We start from the raw sequence: 17,181 nt of genomic DNA on the forward strand, positions 1-17,181 counted from the left end.
CCAAGTGATTCCCTTGCCTCAGCCTCCCAAGTAGCCGGGATTACAGACGTGTGCTACCACACCCAGCTAATTTTTATATTTTTAGTAGAGATGGGGGTTTCACCATGTTAGCCAGGCTGGTCTTGAACTCCTGACCTCAGGTGATCTGCCCACCTCGGCCTACCAAAGTGCAGGGATTATAGGCGTGAATGAGTGTGCCCAGTCTGCAAAGCATTTTAATATCTGTTTATAATTTACCTGTAATTTCTGTTGAAATAAGAATTGCTTAGGTTAGTGCTTTGATAATACTAAATATAAATTATTCTTACCTATTCATTAAATTTAGCAAGTTTTCTATAAAAAACTAAATTATCTTTTCCTACTTTCAGTAATCTAAACAATCTAACTTCCCAACTAGTCCCTATTATTCTTTTTCTTTTTTTTTTTTTTTTTTTTTGAGACAGAGTCTTGCTCTGTGGCCCAGCCTCTGTCGCCCAGTCTGGAGTGCAGTGACAGGATCTCAGCTCACTGCAACCTCTGCCTCCCAGGTTCAAGCCATTCTCCCATCTCAGCCTCTGGAGTAGCTGGGATTACAGGCACACGCCACGAGGATCAACTAATTTTTGTATTTTTAGTAGAAACGGAGTTTCACATTGTTGGCCAGGCTGGTCTCGAACTCCTGACGTCAGGTGATCCGCCCACTTTGGCCTCCCAAAGTGTTAGGATTACAGGCGTGAGCCACCACGCCCGGCCTCCAATCAGTCCCTGTTATTCTAACTTTGTTATATTTCATCTTAATCTCAAAAAGGAGATTTGCTCAACTCTTACTTATGAAATTTACTGCAGGAAGGAAGAGGATAATAATATAGTACAAAGGTACCTTCTGATGGAACAATAAACCAAGAATGCCTGTCTCTTAATACTCTAGTTCATTAACCCACAGACGTATTGATATGTATGCTTTTTTGGAACACAGAGAATTAAAAACACACTTTAAACATCTCAGGTAGGTCAAACATGAAAAGGTCTCTGCAGAATCTTGTAATAACAAATACCTAACTGTCATTACATTTATGCTCTGGCTATTACCTAATTCAATACGTATCTTGAGGCCTCCTAATAAGTTATATTCACTCAGAAGTTATATTCTCTAAAAAAAGAAAGCATAATCAGCAAAAAGCAAAAACATCAGGGTGTACTAAATCCAATTGAATAAAAAACGTTGTTTTGGTTTATAAATATAAACCCCATTTATTTATTATTTATTTACTTTTATGAGACGGTGTCTCACTCTGTTGCCCAGGCTGGAGTGCAGTGGTGAAATCATAGCTCACTGCAGCCTTCAACTCCTGGGAGTTGAATGCCTTCAGCTTCAATCCTCCTGCCTCAGCCTCCTGACTAGCTGGGACCACAGGTGTTTGTGACCATGTCTGCTTAATTAATTAATTAATTTTTTTTTTTTGAGATGGAGTCTCACTCTGTCACCAGCCTGGAGTGCAGTGGCGTGATCCTGGCTCACTACAACCTCCGCCTCCTGGGTTCAAGCAATTTTCCTGCCTCAATCTCCCAAGTAGCTGGGACTACAGGCACACGCCACCATGCCCAGATAATTTTTGTATTTTTAGTAGAGATGGGGTTTCACCATGTTGGCCAGGATGGTCTTGATCTCTTAACCTCGTGATCTGCCCCCCTTGGCCTACCAAAGTGCTGGAATTACAGGCGTGAGCCACCACGCCCAGCAATTTTTTGGTTTTGTATTTAGAGACCAGGTCTCACTATTTTGCCCAGGCTGGTCTTGAACTCCTGGCTTCAAGCAGTCCTCCTGCCTCAGCCTCCCAAAGTGCTGGGATTACTGGTATGAGCCATAGAACCGGGCTAGAAAACCTATTTAAACACAAACCGTTTTCACAAGGCTAAAATAGTTATTTTTCTATATATTTTTATTCAATAAAAAGCTATTCAATAAAGTAGGTAAGGAATGAGGGTAATATATATATATAAGTATTGAGTTTTCTGTAGGCTGACATCAAAGCAAAGACACATTATACATGCAAGTAGTGTATATTTTTTCAGGATGTCCATTATGATAATTTATAATTATAGGCCAGGTGTCGTGGCTCACTCCTGTAATCGCAGCACTTTGGAAGGCCACGGTGGGCAGATTGCCTGAGGTCAAGGGTTCGAGACCAGCCTAGCCAACATAGTGAAACCCTGTCTCTACTAAAAATATAAAAAATTAGTCAGGCGTGGTGGCACACCCCTGTAGTCCCAGCCACTGGGGAGGCTAAGGCACAAGAATTGCTGGAACCTGGGAGGTGGAGGTTGTGGTGAGCCAAAGTTGCGCCATTGCACTCCAGCCTGGGCAACAGATATTAATTATAGATGAATTATAGATATTAAACTGTTTTGGAGGCACACTTCACATCATACACTTCTTAAAGGTATGCTACTTTTAAATCCATCTAAAAGTATGCTACTTTTAAATCCAATTAACTTGCCCCAGCCCAGTTTTAACTTACTTTCCTGCTAGAATCAGGTCCAGAGTATAAGAAAAACTAACAAAAATAATTTCATATTATGAGCATCTTTTAAAACCTTCAAAACCATTACTAATTTTTTTTTCTTTTTGGTAGACAGAGTCTACCAAATCTTGTTTTTATAGGTCTACATCTAAATTTATAGTATACACATTTATAATGTGCCTTATGGCCACATTACACACATGTGCCTTTTAGCATTTACAGCTACTTACACCAGCACTTTTCTTTTTTTTTTTTTTTTTGAGACAGAGTCCTGCTCTATCACCCAGGCTGGAGTGCAGTGGTGTGATCTCGGCTCACTGCAACCTCCACCTCCTGGGTTCAAGCCATTCTCCTGCCTCAGCCTCCCAAGCAACTGGGATTACAGGCATGGGCCACCACCCCCAGCTAATTTTTGTATTTTTAGTAGAGACGGGGTTTCACCATGTTGGCCAGGCTGGTCTCGAACCCCTGACCTCAGGTAATCCGCCCACCTCAACCTCCCAAAGTGCTAGGATTACAGGCGGGAGCCACCACGCCCAGCCAGTACTCTGTATTTAGTAACCTCCAAAGCTTCCATCATACTAATTCCCAGTCTGAATTACCCTATTATGTGCTTTTCCAACCTCCTCCCAGGCCAAAGGTACTGTTATAGAAAGCCAGAATTCGCCGGGCATGGCGGCTCACGCCTGTAATCCCAGCACTTTGGGAGGTCGAGGCGGTCGGATCATGAGGTCAGGAGATCGAGACCATCCTGGCTAACACGGTGAAACCCCGTCTCTACTAAAAAAATACAAAAAAAATTAGCCGGGCACAGTGGCGGGCGCCTGTAGTCCCAGCTACTCAGGATGCTGAGGCAGGAAATCGGCATTAACCCGGGAGGCGGAGCTTGCAGTGAGCTGAGATGGCGCCACCGCACTCTAGCCTGGGCGATAGAGCGAGACTCCGTCTCAAAAAAAAAAAGAAAGCCAGAATCACGCTCTTGGCCTACAAGACGTTCAACATGTTTTTCTAACTTCAGTTAGGGATATCACTGGCAAACAGTAATTCTTTTATAGCAGTCCCCAAAAGAGCTATTTCAAGTCACTTTAAGCCTTTGATTTTACCTTCCTTTAACTGCAACCAATGATGCTGCCTCCTACTTTAATGAGCACCCCAATCTCTCCCTCAAGATTTGTTCACAAAATTATCTTCCCTTGCTCCTTTCCCTTCATCTTATCATTAAATGTCAACACACTTCCTTCTATATCTTGCTCTCTGAATTCTTTCTCCATATACTCAACATCTTCAATTTTTCCCTCTTACAAGTACCTTTCCTTTAACTTCCAATATGCATAAATCCATCCTGAAAAATAATTTAACCTTAATGTCCCTCCAGTAGCTCCATAATTCTCCTACTACTTTTACAAAGCAAAATATTCCAATGTCTACGAGATCTTAGGAATGACTCACACTGGTCATCTAGTCCATTAGTTTTCAATATTCAGTGTTTTCTAGATATACTTGATCCCACCACGAACGAAGGAAAAAAAATCCATTTATCCTAAGGACATAAGCTTACAGGCCAACAAGTCTCTTAAGGTCACAAGAATCCACTGTAATATTGTCAGAAATAAACTTTATTTCAACGGTCTTAAACTATTAAAAAAATTAATTGAAAATGGTATTAACATCAAGTATAAATTTAAACAGCTGAAGTATCATAAAATAAAATCTTTTTTTTTTTTTGAGATCGAGTTTCTCTTGTTGCCCAAGCTGGAGTGCAATGGCTTGATCTTGGCTTACCACAACCTCCGTCTCCCAGGTTCAAGCAATTCTCCTGCCTTAGCCTCCCAAGTAGCTGGGATTACAGGCGTGGGCCACCACGTCCGGCTAATTTTGTATTTTTAGTAAAGATGGGGTTTCTCCATGTTGGTCAGGCTGGTCTCAGACTCCCGACCTCAGGTGATCTGCCTGCCTCAGCCTCCCAAAGTGCTAGGATTACAGGCATGAGCCACTGTGCCCAGCCAATAAAATCATTTTTTTAATTTTATTTCGAGTCTTGCTCTGTCACCCAGGCTGGAGTGCAGTGGCGCAATCTCGGCTCGCTGCAAGCTCCGCCTCCCAGGTTCACGCCATTCTCCTGCCTCAGCCTCCCAAGTAGCTGGGACTACAGGCACCACCCGCCACCTCTCCCGGCTAATTTTTTGTATTTTTAGTAGAGACGGGGTTTCACCGTGGTCTGGATCTCCTGACCTCGTGATCCGCCCACCTCGGCCTCCCAAAGTGCTGGGATTACAGGCGTGAGCCACCGCGCCCAGCCTTAAAATCATTTTTTAAAAACACAACAGAGGCGAGACACAGTGGCTCACACATGTAATCCCAGCACTTTGGGAGGCTGAGGTGGACACATCACTTGAAGTCAGGAGTTCCAGACCACACTGGCCAACATGGTAAAACCCTCTACTAAAAATACAAAAATTAGTTGGGCGTGGTGGTATGCGCCTGTAATCCCAGCTACTGGGGAGGCTGAGGCATGAGAATCACTTGAACCTGGGAGATGGGGGTTGCAGTGAGCTGAGATCACGCCACTGCACTCCAGCCTGGGCAACAGAGCAAGACACCGCACCTGGCCAACCTTGGACATTTTAAATCAATAAATCATTAAGATGGAGAACTTGCTAAATAAAATATTCCATTCCTTGCCTTTTTCTTCCATGAGCTTACTTCTTCCATTTTCTCCCTTCTGTTGGACTCTTCATTCTCTTCCTTCCATGCCAGCCTGGACTCCAAGAAGTATCATCTGAACTAGCACCTTTGACTGAAATCCTTATTCTTTCCTTATAGCCACCTAACCAAAAATCAGCACTACAAATTCACTTTCTTCCTTCCTACATCACAATGGTTTAGCACAAATACAGAAAAATCACTGAGTGATCCATCACAGAAATCCATGTCATTGGGAAAACTGATTTAGCTCTATTCCTACTCTTTCTTCTACATGTAGAATATGAATCAGGCTGAGCCAATCAGGTTACTCTGATGACCTACTGACAATAATGATAGGTTCAGGAAAAAGCATCTGATCTGAGGCAATCTAATCAGTGAATAGCAAGACTTCATCCGTAATACTAGGACAAAGATTCTCAAAATTAACATGGAAGCATTTAGCTTACCTGAAGCTTCAAGGGGAACCAAACTTAAGGTTAAGCTGACATCAAATAAGCAAATCAAGATATGAAAAATCTGATCCTGGCCGGGCGTGGGGCTAACACCTATAATCCCAGCACTTTGGGAGGCCAAGGCGGGTGAATTACTGGAGGTCAGGAGTTCAAGACCAGCCTGGCCAACACAGAGATAACCCGTCTCTACTAAAAATACAAAATTAGCTGGGCGTGGTGACGTGTGCCTGTAATCCCGGCTACTGGGGAGGCTGAGGCGGAGAATCGCTTGAATCTGGGAGGTGGAGGTTGTGGTGAGCCAAGATCGCACCATTGCACTCCAGCCTGGGCAAAAAGAGTGAAACTCCATTTCAAAAAAAAAGAAAGAAAGAAAAATCTGATCCTGAAGATGCTGAGCAACTGGCTCCAGCCTGATGCCACCAAATCCTACTCATTACTTGATTTACTTACATGGACCAATAAGCTCCCTTTCAGCAAGGGTTCCAGTGGGTTTTCTGTCGTAGACCAAAAAAATTCTGATACATAATACCTGGGTTGAGACTGACATCAGCAAACCATACTAATGCTTTGGTTGATATTCAGCTGCCAAGTCTAGTCTTAGATTTCATCTACAGTAATCAGAGCTTCCTTCTTTCTGTAAGCCAGTACTTTGCTCATAGTAGACACCTGAGGAGTATTTGTTAAACAAATAGCAAGGCAGGATCTAGACCAGGGATCTGGATTATCCAAGTCAGAACAATATTGTCAGCCAGGCGCAGTGGCTTACACCTGTAATCCCAGCACTTTGGGAGGCTGAGGCAGGCAGATCACAAGGTCAGGAGATCGAGACCATCCTGGCTAACATGGTGAAACCCCATCTCTACTAAAAATACAAAAAATTAGCCAGGCGTGGTGGTGGGTGCCTGTAGTCCCAGCTACTTGGGAGGCTGAGGCAGGAGAATGGCGTGAACCCGGGAAGGGGAGGTTGCAAGTGAGCCAAGATCGCACCACTGCACTCCAGCCTGGGTGACAGAGCAAGACTCCATCTCAAAAAAAAAAACAAAAGAACAAAAAAAAATATTGTTTTCTAGAAGCAATAAAATCAACTTTGAGACAGTGTTTTTCAATCTTTTTTGATTGTGTTCCAAGTAATGTATTATTATTATTATTATTTTTTTTTGAGATGGAGTCTCACTCTATCACCCAGACTGGAGTGCAGTGGCGCTATCTTGGCTCACTGCAAACTCCACCTCCTGGGTTCAAGTGATTCTCCTGCCTCAGCCTCCCAAGTAGCTGGGATTACAGGTGTGCACCACCATGCCCAGCTAATTTTTGTATTTTTAGTAGAGACAGGGCTTCTTCATGTTAGTCAGGCTGGTCTTGAACTCCTGACCTCATGTTCCGCCCGCCTCGGCCTCCCAAAGTGCTGGGATTACAGGCATGAGCCACCATGTCAGCCTAAGTAATGTACATGACCCGGTATACACAAAATCTATATAACTCAAGGAAAGATTAAACAAAAAAAAACCAGCATTTAATCCCAAAGCACTGATATTTTCTCTTCTATTCCATTTTTTTTAAAAAAATGCTTATTATTGATTATCCATCAAATTGATTTCACACCCCTCACAAGGGTCATGACTTATATATTGAAAAACATAGTCCAGCTCTCTTAAGTTAAAATGGAGAACTTGCTAGTAAATACATAGGTCGGGGCAAACACCACCAAAAAAGTTATGTACTCTAGTCCAGTCACCTTCAAACCGATTAGGTTAAGAGCCCTTTTTTTTTTTTTTTTTTTTTTTTAACCAGGAGAAATAACTTTATTTGGACTGAGAGCTGGAGAACAAGAATAGGACCTGAGATAGCATACTGGGCTAAGGAGGAGAGGTAAGGTTCCAAAATGGCAGTCAAAGCTCATCGACCAAACAGACTCTACTTCCCAGCAACCTTGCAGTTAGTGCAACCAACAAAAGGCCTGCTGGGGAATGTATTTTCCACTAAATTCCCCAAGTATGCCAACATTACAAAAAAGATAGAGGTTTTTCATCATAATTAAATTTCCACAATCCTCCCCAATCATGAGTATTATAAGCAGAAGTAAAAAATCACATTTTACAGATCTCAAACTTGTCTTCAACATTTAGTTCATCATCTTCAAAAAACAGCTCCCCTGCTAAACTCATTAGCTATATGATCTATCCAAGCAACAACAAGATGGCCAGGCCATGCCAATTCTCTTCCCATTTTCCCTAGCCACTCAGGGCTCAACAGCAGGGTGAAGCTCAGGCGGGGGTAGGGTGTGGGGAGCACAAGGGCTACTTTCCCCCAATACAACATGGCATCTGAAGCTTGATAGGAGAGCAGAACTGGTGAGACTTGAGGGAAGGACCCAGGGCCTGTATTCAGTCAGAATCACTGCTGGAAGAGGAGGAGGAATGCTTGCTATGCTTGTGCATCTTTTTATGAGCTTTCTTCATTTTCTTCTGTATCTTCTTGCCCACTATCACTGCTGGTCCAACCATGCCAGGAGCCAAGGGACTCACAGGAGGCATTCCAGGAGCAGACGGTGGGTATGGAGGAGGGTAGGGACCCGAGGATTGGCATCCTGGATACCCTGGCTGTGGCACAGGATGAGGGGGCCAACCTGGGGGGAAAGCTGAATTGCCTTGCGGAGCTCCTGGGGGAGGAGGACAGGGGCCTGGGGGAAAGGGTGGGTTGATAGGTGGTGAGTGGGCAGGATTGGAACCTCCAGGGCACCCAATGTTGGGTGGATATGGATTTGGCCCTGGCTGCCTGGCACTGGGATTCCACATGTTTAGGTGTGTCCTCCAGCCTTTCCACTGCTGCCTGGGCTTGATGCATTCTCAAGAGCTTCTTAACTAGTTTCACCTCCTGTCTGCTCTCTCATCTTCATCATGCAAAAATTAGACTTTCCGTGTTACCTCTGCCTTACTCAAGTAGTCAAAGTGGTCCACAGTCTACTAGGCTTAGCTCTGAGACTAGAGGCCAGAGTAATGGCAAGGAATCCACTAAATGTACCAAACATTGCAGATAGCATGTAAAACAGTTCAAACATACATATGATGATAACTACTTATTTGTCAAAGTTATATATGTGTCACTTAATAGAATACAAATTCATTTCCAAGTATCATGGAATTTACAGGAACATTCTGACACATCCTGAACAGGCCAACCTCATCGCCTACTACCACCCAACAGAAACCCTCTGCTCCTGACAAATTAATCTCCCTACCCACACACATAAAAGTTTCACACTAACCTTCAACCCTACTACTCTCTTTCTCCTAGCCTGGAATACCCTTCCCTTCTCTTTACTTATCCAAACCTTACTTATCTGGCAAAGCACAATGGCTCATGCCTGTAATTCCAGCATTTGGGGAGGCCAAGGCAGGAAGACGCTTGAGCCCAGGACTTCAAGACACCCTGGCCCCTTCTCTACAAAAAACAAATAATTAGCTGAGCATGGTGGCACACACCTGTAGTCAGCTATTTGAGGGGGCTGAGGTGGGAAGATCGCATGAGCCCAGGTAGCTGAGGCTGCAGCAAGCTATGATCATGCCACTGCACTCCAGCATAGGTGACACAGCGAGGCCTTGTCTCAAGTCACTAAAAACAGGCCTTACTTCATCATGAAGTGAAGGCACGCCTTCACATCTCTTCCCTGTCTTCCTATAGATTTGTGATCTATAGATGTCATGGGACAGCATCATAAGAATAATTGTAGGCCAGGCGTGGTGGCTCACGCCTGTAATCCCAGCACTTTGGGAGGCCGAGGCGGGCGGATCAACAGGTCAGGAGATCGAGACCATCCTGGCTAACAAGGTGAAACCCCATCTCTACTAAAAATACAAAAATTAGCCCGGCGTGGTGGTGGGCGCCTGTAGTCCCAGCTACTCGGGAGGCTGAGGCAGGAGAATGGCGTGAACCCAGGAGGCGGAGCTTGCAGTGAGCCAAGATTGCGCCACTGCACTCCAGCCTGGGTGACAGACCGAGACTCCGTCTCAAAAAAAAAAAAAAAAAAAAGAATAATTGTGTTGAATGTTTTGTTGTAATGATAAAATAAGATTAAAAAGTAAGAGCACTTTGGAAGTTTCAAGGTTTTATTTTTTGAATAGCTTTAGGTAAAAATCATGAATACAACTGGCTGCTACCTCAAATGAGATGTCAATTTTTAGGGATGCCCTATCTGGAACACTTTTTCAGGAAACCCAGACCTTGGAATATTGTCACCCTCAGTAGTAGAGTCTTCAAAACAATCTTTCTTTTATTCAGAGCTGATTTATACATTAACAACGATTCATTTCTCAGTTTTTGAAATTATATGAAGTCACCTGGATCCAGTGTATATAAGCTGGAAAAATACCCAAAAACATAAGGCTGACAGAGCCAAATTAGACTGTTGGAGACATTTTAAATTATTTGAAAATACATTAACATTTTCTACTACATACTCTTAGAAGTTCTCCTAGCCATCACTGGTGGTGGAACACACCTATGTGAGCTACAGACAAACTTGTTAGGATCACTTTAAGTTTATGAGCTTTAAAATCATTTAAAGAACGATTCCAGGCCAACACGGAATCAAAGTATTTAGTTTCTACGTACAGTTTTTTCCTTAAAACAATATTTAAAGCCGTGAGATTCTGCAATTATAGAGGCAGTAGGAATAAAGAGAAAACAAAAACCAAAAATAAAGCCGTGAGAAATGTCAGGATGATGTAGTGGGGAAATAAACTTTAGAATGAGTGACCTTAGCTGTAACTAAGTAATTGCTAATATTTATTTAGCCCCCACTTCATATCCAAGCATTGCTCTAAATCTTTTACGTGAATTATTTCGTTTAACCCACGCACCACCTATTAAGTAGATATTATTATTATCCCCATTTCACAGTTCAGACACTGAGCTTTTTTTGAAAGTTACCAAGTCCAAGGTTCCAAGTAAACAGTAGGGCAGGGACTCAAGCCCAGGTGTACTGCCACCTGGAAGTATTAAGTCCTCGCTCCTAACTACTACTTCACTGATCTGGCTTTATGACTTTATAAGTCATATACCCACACTGGGCCTCAGTTTCTTCATCTGTAAAAACAACGCAGCGAATGCCACAGTACAGCTCCTTCCAGCTCTGCCTAGCGTCGTTATCATCAACCTTACAATCTACCTGAGCGTCAACAAGCCAGTGTCATCCCTTCTTTTAAATGAATTCTACTCAAACAGCATTTACAACGCACCTACTCGGCGTCCGGCCTTGTGCTGCGCGAGCGCCCAAGCCCAACTCCCCCACGGTCTCTGCTCCCGCCGCGGCGCCAGCAGGCCCCCCTCTTTCCCCGCGACTCTCCGAGAATAGCGGGGGTCCTTTTCCCCACCCGACACACAGAAGCCTCGGGCCACCCCCAGCTCTGCTCCCCGGGCCCACTCACCCTTCTGGTGGTCTCTGCTGCCAGGCGCCGCGAGACCCCGCGTCCCCGCTGCCCCGTCCCCCACGGGGGTCGTGTGGTGAGCGCCCAACTGCGATCGTTCGGCGACTCTGCCTTTCGCCATGGCTGCTGCAAGGTGAAGGGAGCGGTGCGGTGCCGCGCCCCCTAAACAACAAAACTCTGTTGCAGGCTCCTTACTACGCCGAAGCGCCACGGCTAGAGCCACTTCCGGCGCGACCTCCTCACCCGAGACGACCTCAGCCCAGCGAGTACTGCAACCTCCTGCAAACACCCGCAGCGCCCACCACAGGCTAAACCCCGCCCCGTGCCGCCCCCGAGCCTCGCGTGCTCGCGCCGGCCCAGTAACCGCGAGACAAGTCAGGGTCCTGGACCGCCCCCTTCAGTGCCCCGCCCCGGCCCGCCCGCGGGAAAGAGGTGGCCGCCGGGCGCTGGGGCGAGAGCATGCGCAGTCGCGGCACTCGAGTCACCCGGCTGCGACTCGCTGGCCCTGGCGTCTAAAGCGTAGCCTTAATTACCCGGAAGTGCGGTCCCAGGGACTTCAAACCTTTTGTCCAGGCCGCCGGAGGTGCCTGTGATTAGTCGGCATTTCGCGGCTGAGGCTGATTCAGCCCATTACATCAATTCCGCAGCTGCTGTCTTCAATTTGGAGGCGCCAGAGAGTGCTTGATCTAAAAGATGGTGGGAAATACAAAGGTTGAGCAAAACCTACCTGAATTTCAGGAAACTAAGGCTCAGAGAGGGCTACGTACAACCTGTGAAGATCACAGGATGGCAAAAATGGGCTTAGAATCCAGGTTGTCCTGTTCCCAAAGCTAACGGTTTTGCATTAGCTGCTGCCCCTTACTACTAAACCCAAGTCAGCTCTACATTTAGCTTATCCCTAAGCTAAGCGGAAACATGCCTTTTCCACAGGTAACTTTTTCTGCTTCTACCCCTCAGAGCACATTCAGCTTACTCACCGTGGTTACCTCTTGAAAGCAACTTAGAGGCCGGTCGCGGTGGCTCAAGCCTGTAATCCCAACACTTTGGGAGGCCAAGGCGGGCGGATCATTTGAGACCAGGAGTGTGAGGCCAGACTGGCCAAAATGGTGAGATGAGACCCCGTCTCTGCTAAAAATACAAAAATGAGCTGGACATGATGGCTTGTAATCCCAGCTACTCGAGAGTGTGAGTCAGGAGAATCGCTTGAACCCCGGAGGCTGAGGTTGCGGTGAGAAATTGCACCGCTGCACTCCAGCATAGACCACAAAGCAAGACTCCGTCCCAAAAAAAAAAAAAAAAAATCCTGATTGTTTCTATTCAGTAATTACATTTGTAGGAAATTATTCCATGAAAATAAACATAAATAATTCCTCTGTATTAGTATAACAGTGAAAAACTAAAAGCAATATAAAAATCCAACACTAAATAAAAATGGTTAAGTAAATTATGGGAAACCCATTCAATTGAACTGTTTTATGTACACATCCTTTGCCTACTTCTGGCTCCCATTTTATTTCCTTCATAGTCATTAAAAGCAATTAATTCTGTGAACTATTTGTTTACTTGTTTATTGTCTGCCTCCACCTTTAGAATATAAGCTTTAAGGCAGGGGCTTTGTCTTTTTGTTTTTTGTTTTTTTAAGTGATGGGAATCTCACTATATTGTCCAGGCTGGATCTGAACTTCTGGACTCAAGGGATCCTCAAGCATCAGCCCTCTGAGTAGCTGGGACTACAGGCTCCATGCTATGGCTCCCAGCTGGGCTTTGTCTTTTTGATCACCATTGTATCCCCGGTAGCTGACAGAGTGCCAATACCTAAGTGGCCATTCAATGAATTTGTTGAATAATTTTTTTTTTTGAGATGGTGCCCAGCCGAATAAATTTTCAATCTTAGGAAATTATATTTATGGGCCAGGTGCCATGGCTTACACCTGTAATTTCAGCACTTTGGGAGACCAAGGTGGGCGGATCACCTTGAGGTCGGGAGTTCAAGTCAAAAAAAAAAAAAAGAAAACATTTTATATATTTTACTATGCAAACATTAAAAATTGAAGTACAACAAAAACTAAAAACAAACACTGAGAAGTATTTGACACATAAGAATTACTACAAATCAGTAAGGAAAGCACAACTCAACAGAAAAATGGGCAAAGAATATGAATTATCAACACACAGAAGAAAAAATTAAATGTGCTTAAGACATCTGAGTGCGCAGTGGGAAAGCCAACTCCAAAACTTAGGAAATTCCAAAAAATTAGGAAAAGATGAACAACCTCAGTGCAGTGTGATAAGAGTGACTGAGGGGTGCGCAGATTGCAATAGCAGAAGAGAGGAATATCTAAATTACAGTGGGGCTGTAAAGTCTCCCAGGAAGCAGGATTAAAACTGATTTTTAGAGGATGAATAGGAATTAACAAAGTTGAAAGCAGAGAAAATAGCTTTTGCAAAGGCTAGAAGCTACTGCTTATATTAGAAAAAAAGCTTCAAGCAAAGGGTGGGAGAATGGAAAGAAATGCTACGAAAGATATGAGACCAGGACCTTATCACAAACTGCTAAAAGTTTGAACTTAATCCTCAAAGATATTTAACCAGAGAGGGACTTAGTAAGATTTGTATTTTTGGCCGGGCACATTGGCTCACCCCTGTAATCCCAGCACTTTGGGAGGCTGAGATGGTTGGATCACCTGAGGTCAGGAGTTCAAGACCAGTTTGAAAACCCGTCTCTACTAAAAGTACAAAAAATTAGCTGGGTGTGGCCGGGTGTGGTGGCTCACGCCTGTAATCCCAGCACTTTGGGAGGCCGAGGTGGGCGGATCACGAGGTGGGGAGATCAAGACCATCCTGGCTAATATGGTGAAACCCCGTCTCTACTAAAAATACAAAGAATTATCCGGGCGTGGTGGCAGGCGCCTGTAATCCCAGCTACTCAGGAGGCTGAGGCAGGAGAATGGTGTGAACCCAGGAGGCAGAGCTTGCACTGAGCCGAGATCGCGACACTGCACTCCAGCCTGGGTGACAGAGCAGGACTCCATCTCAAAAAAAAAAAAAAAAAAAAAAAAAAAAAAAAAAAAGCTGGGCGTGGCAGCGGGCGCCTGTAATCCCAGCTACCCGGGAGGCTGAGGTAGGAGAATCGCTTGAACCAGGGAGGTAGAGGTTCCAGTGAGCTGGGATCGTGCCATTGCACTCCAGCCAGGGCAACAAGTGTGAAACTCCGTCTCAAAAAAAAGATTTGAATTTTCAAAGCTTATTCTGACCGCCTTATGGAAGTGTGCCAAATCAACAGCAGAAAGAGAAGTTAGGAGATTACTGCAATAATCCTGGCCTGACCTAGCATAGTGTACTGGAGACAAAAAGAAGATACCAGATATAAGATTATGTATGAGAAGAACTATCTCTAAACTTTTATTACTTTAATTACATGAATATATACATAGTCATTCCAGACAAAATTTTTTTTTTTTTTGAGATGGAGTTTCACTCTTATTGCCACGCTGGAGTGCAATGGCATGATCTTGGCTCGCGGAAACCTCCGCCTCCCAGTTCAAGCGATTTTCCTGCCTCAGCCTCCCAAGTAGCTGGGATTACAGACATGTGCTACCACGCCCGGCTAATTTTGTATTTTTAGTAGAGGGGGGTTTCTCCATGTTGATCAGGCTGGTCTCGAACTCCCGACCTCAGGTGATCTGCCCACCTCGGCCTCCCAGTGCTGGGATTACAGCCGTGAGCCACCACGCCCCAGCCTCCAGACAAATATTGAAAAAGCAAATTATCAGACAGAAAAACATTAAGTCCAGGCAGGGTGGGTCATGCCTGTGATCCCAGCACTTTCGGAGGCTGAGGAGGGCGGATTGATTGGGCTCAGGGGTTTGAGACCAGCCTAAGCAACATGGTGAAACCCTGTCTCTACAAACAATACAAAAAAGCCGGGCATGGTGGCAGGTGCCTGCAATCCCACCTACTCAGGAGGCTGAGGTGGGAGAATGGCTTGAGCCCAGGAGGTGGAGGTTGCAGTGGGCCAAGATCATGCCATCGCACTGTAGCCTGGGTGACAGAGCCAGACCCTGCCTCGAAAAAACAAAAACATTAAAATCATGTCTAATATGTTAGCAGCAGCAAATCCGTACGGGTCTGTAGCAACCTCAATTCTTGCTTCCTCAGAAGAATTCGACCGAAGGGCATAAGGCAGAGTGAGAAACCAAGGCAAGTCTTAGAGGAGTGAAAGTTTATTAAAAAGCTTTAGAGAAGGAATAAAAAGAAGCAAAGTACACTTGGAAGAGGACCAACAGGTGACTTAAGAGATCAAGTGCACGGTTTGACCTTTACTTGGGGTCTTATACATTGGCCCAGGGTTATTTCTCCCCTGATTCTTCCCTTGGGATGGGCTGTCCACATGTGCAGTGGCCTGCCAGCACTTGGGAGGGGTTACATGCACAATGTCTTTACTGAAGTTGCACATGAAGGGGTGGGTTGCCCCTCCACACCTGTGGGCATTTCTCATTAGGTGGAACGAGAGACTTGGAAAAGAAAGAGACACAGAGACCAAGTATAGAGAAAGAAAAAGGGGCCCAGGGGACTGGCGTTCAGCATGTGGAGGATCCACGCCGGCACCAGCCTCTGAGTTCCCTTAGTATTTATTGATCATTATCGGGTGTGGCAGGATAATAGGATAATAGTGGAGAGAAGGTCAGAAGGTAAACACGTGAACAAATGTCTCTGCATCATAAACAAGCTAAAGAAAAAAGTGCTGTGCTTTTGATGTGCATATACATAAACATTTCAATGCCTTAAGGAGCAGTATTGCTGCCAGCATGTCCCGACTCCAGCCCTAAGGTGGTTTTCCCCTATCTCAGTAGATGGAATATACAATCGGCTTTACACCGAGACATTCCATTGCCCAGGGACCAGCAGGAGACAGAAGCCTTCCTCTTATCTCAACTGCAAAGAGGCGTTCCTTCCTCTTTTACTAATCCTCCTCAGCACAGACCCTTTACGGGTGTCGGGCTGGGGGACGATCAGGTCTTTCCCTTCCCATGAGGCCGTATTTCAGACTATCACATGGGGAGAAACCTTGGACAATATCTGGTTTTCCTAGGCAGAGGTATTGTGTCTCTGGGTACTTGAGATTAGGGAGTGGTGATGACTCTTAACAAGCATGCTGCCTTCAAGCATTTGTTTAACAAAGCACACCCTGCACAGCCCTTGATCCACTAAACCCTGAGTTGACACAGCACATGTCTTAGGGAGCACAGGGTTGGGGGTAGGGTTACAGATTAACAGCATCTCAAGGCAGAAGAATTTTTCTTAGTACAGAACAAAATGGAGTCTCTTATGTCTACTTCTTTCTACGCAGACACAGTAACAATCTGATCTCTCTTTTCCCCATAGCACACATGCTCACATGAGGCAGTTTTTCCTTTACCAGTCCAGTGTTCCTAGAGGAAGGTCATACACAACTTAAATTCTGCCATTTTGCTTCTTAGTGTGCATACTTGAGCCGGAGATGTTACCGAGAAGCTGCCAATCATCAGTTTCAGGGTTTTTTCTATTTGTTGGGAGACTGCCTTTCCCTGGTGCCAGCTGCGACCAATTATTGTTTTAGGAAGGCAGTTTAATGGCCACCTGACCAACAACTGATGGTCACCTGACATTCCTGGTGAAGTGGAGAGGCCCTCTCCTGCCCTCTCATGTCTGATTAGCTACCTTCTGTAACAATACCACCATCCATAGATAATTGTAATATTGGGATTTATCCTCCTGGGATATTAAAAAATGTTAAAGAAGTAGAATCTAGAGGATTTAGTGTCACTTAATATCCTTAGACAAAGATGTTAGTCAGAGGGGAGGCACTAGGTGTTTGGAGAGTTTCTGGTTTAGGAGGTTGAATGTGATACCAGTGGGACCACAACCCCAGCCAGTGTGTAGGCTCTAGATATTGCAGGAAGGAATTCAAGGATGAGTCAGAAAATAGTGAAAGTACGGAGACTTATTGCAAGGTGAAAAGTACACACTGAAGAAAGGGGAGCGCAGGTGTACTCAAAGAGTAGTCGCCCAATAGAGTTTGGGATTTCTACCTTTCTGGGTTTCTTTAACCAAAGG

At 44.9% G+C, this 17,181-nt stretch overlaps 1 protein-coding gene and 1 pseudogene across 4 annotated transcripts in view, besides 6 other annotated features; both read right to left on the reverse strand.

The window, feature by feature from the left end:
- The window catches only part of TMEM41B (transmembrane protein 41B), a 33,940-nt gene extending 22,582 nt beyond the window's left edge, over positions 1–11,358 (reverse strand). For all 4 annotated transcript variants that reach the window (NR_028491.3, NM_015012.4, XM_047426969.1 and 1 more), the window contains exon 1: positions 11,086–11,358. Coding sequence is in view for 3 of the 4 variants with exons in the window: in NM_015012.4 (NP_055827.1) it covers positions 11,086–11,206 (121 nt within the window). In the remaining variant the exon portion in view is untranslated. The remainder of the gene's footprint in view (positions 1–11,085) is intronic.
- PRR13P2 (proline rich 13 pseudogene 2) lies at positions 7,849–8,507 on the reverse strand (annotated as a pseudogene).
- Positions 10,549–11,066: an enhancer, noted in NCBI's record as "H3K27ac hESC enhancer chr11:9335331-9335848 (GRCh37/hg19 assembly coordinates)". NCBI's record gives its function as "activates a minimal SCP1, AML or CMV promoter by ChIP-STARR-seq in naive H9 embryonic stem cells {active_cell/tissue: H9 hESC(naive)}" and the evidence as "EXISTENCE:reporter gene assay evidence [ECO:0000049][PMID:30033119]".
- Positions 11,067–11,582: an enhancer, noted in NCBI's record as "NANOG-H3K27ac hESC enhancer chr11:9335849-9336364 (GRCh37/hg19 assembly coordinates)". NCBI's record gives its function as "activates a minimal SCP1, AML or CMV promoter by ChIP-STARR-seq in primed H9 embryonic stem cells {active_cell/tissue: H9 hESC(primed)}" and the evidence as "EXISTENCE:reporter gene assay evidence [ECO:0000049][PMID:30033119]".
- Positions 11,067–11,697: a biological region, named in NCBI's record as "NANOG-H3K27ac hESC enhancer GRCh37_chr11:9335849-9336364".
- Positions 11,348–11,697: a silencer, noted in NCBI's record as "silent region_3124". NCBI's record gives its function as "represses an Ori minimal core promoter by ATAC-STARR-seq in GM12878 lymphoblastoid cells {active_cell/tissue: GM12878}" and the evidence as "EXISTENCE:reporter gene assay evidence [ECO:0000049][PMID:35858748]".
- Positions 15,212–16,188: an enhancer, noted in NCBI's record as "OCT4-NANOG-H3K27ac-H3K4me1 hESC enhancer chr11:9339994-9340970 (GRCh37/hg19 assembly coordinates)". NCBI's record gives its function as "activates a minimal SCP1, AML or CMV promoter by ChIP-STARR-seq in naive and primed H9 embryonic stem cells {active_cell/tissue: H9 hESC(naive and primed)}" and the evidence as "EXISTENCE:reporter gene assay evidence [ECO:0000049][PMID:30033119]".
- Positions 16,189–17,165: an enhancer, noted in NCBI's record as "OCT4-NANOG-H3K27ac hESC enhancer chr11:9340971-9341947 (GRCh37/hg19 assembly coordinates)". NCBI's record gives its function as "activates a minimal SCP1, AML or CMV promoter by ChIP-STARR-seq in primed H9 embryonic stem cells {active_cell/tissue: H9 hESC(primed)}" and the evidence as "EXISTENCE:reporter gene assay evidence [ECO:0000049][PMID:30033119]".

The sequence above is a fragment of the Homo sapiens genome, chromosome 11 (assembly GCF_000001405.40).
Source record: "Homo sapiens chromosome 11, GRCh38.p14 Primary Assembly".
Lineage (NCBI taxonomy): Eukaryota > Metazoa > Chordata > Mammalia > Primates > Hominidae > Homo > Homo sapiens.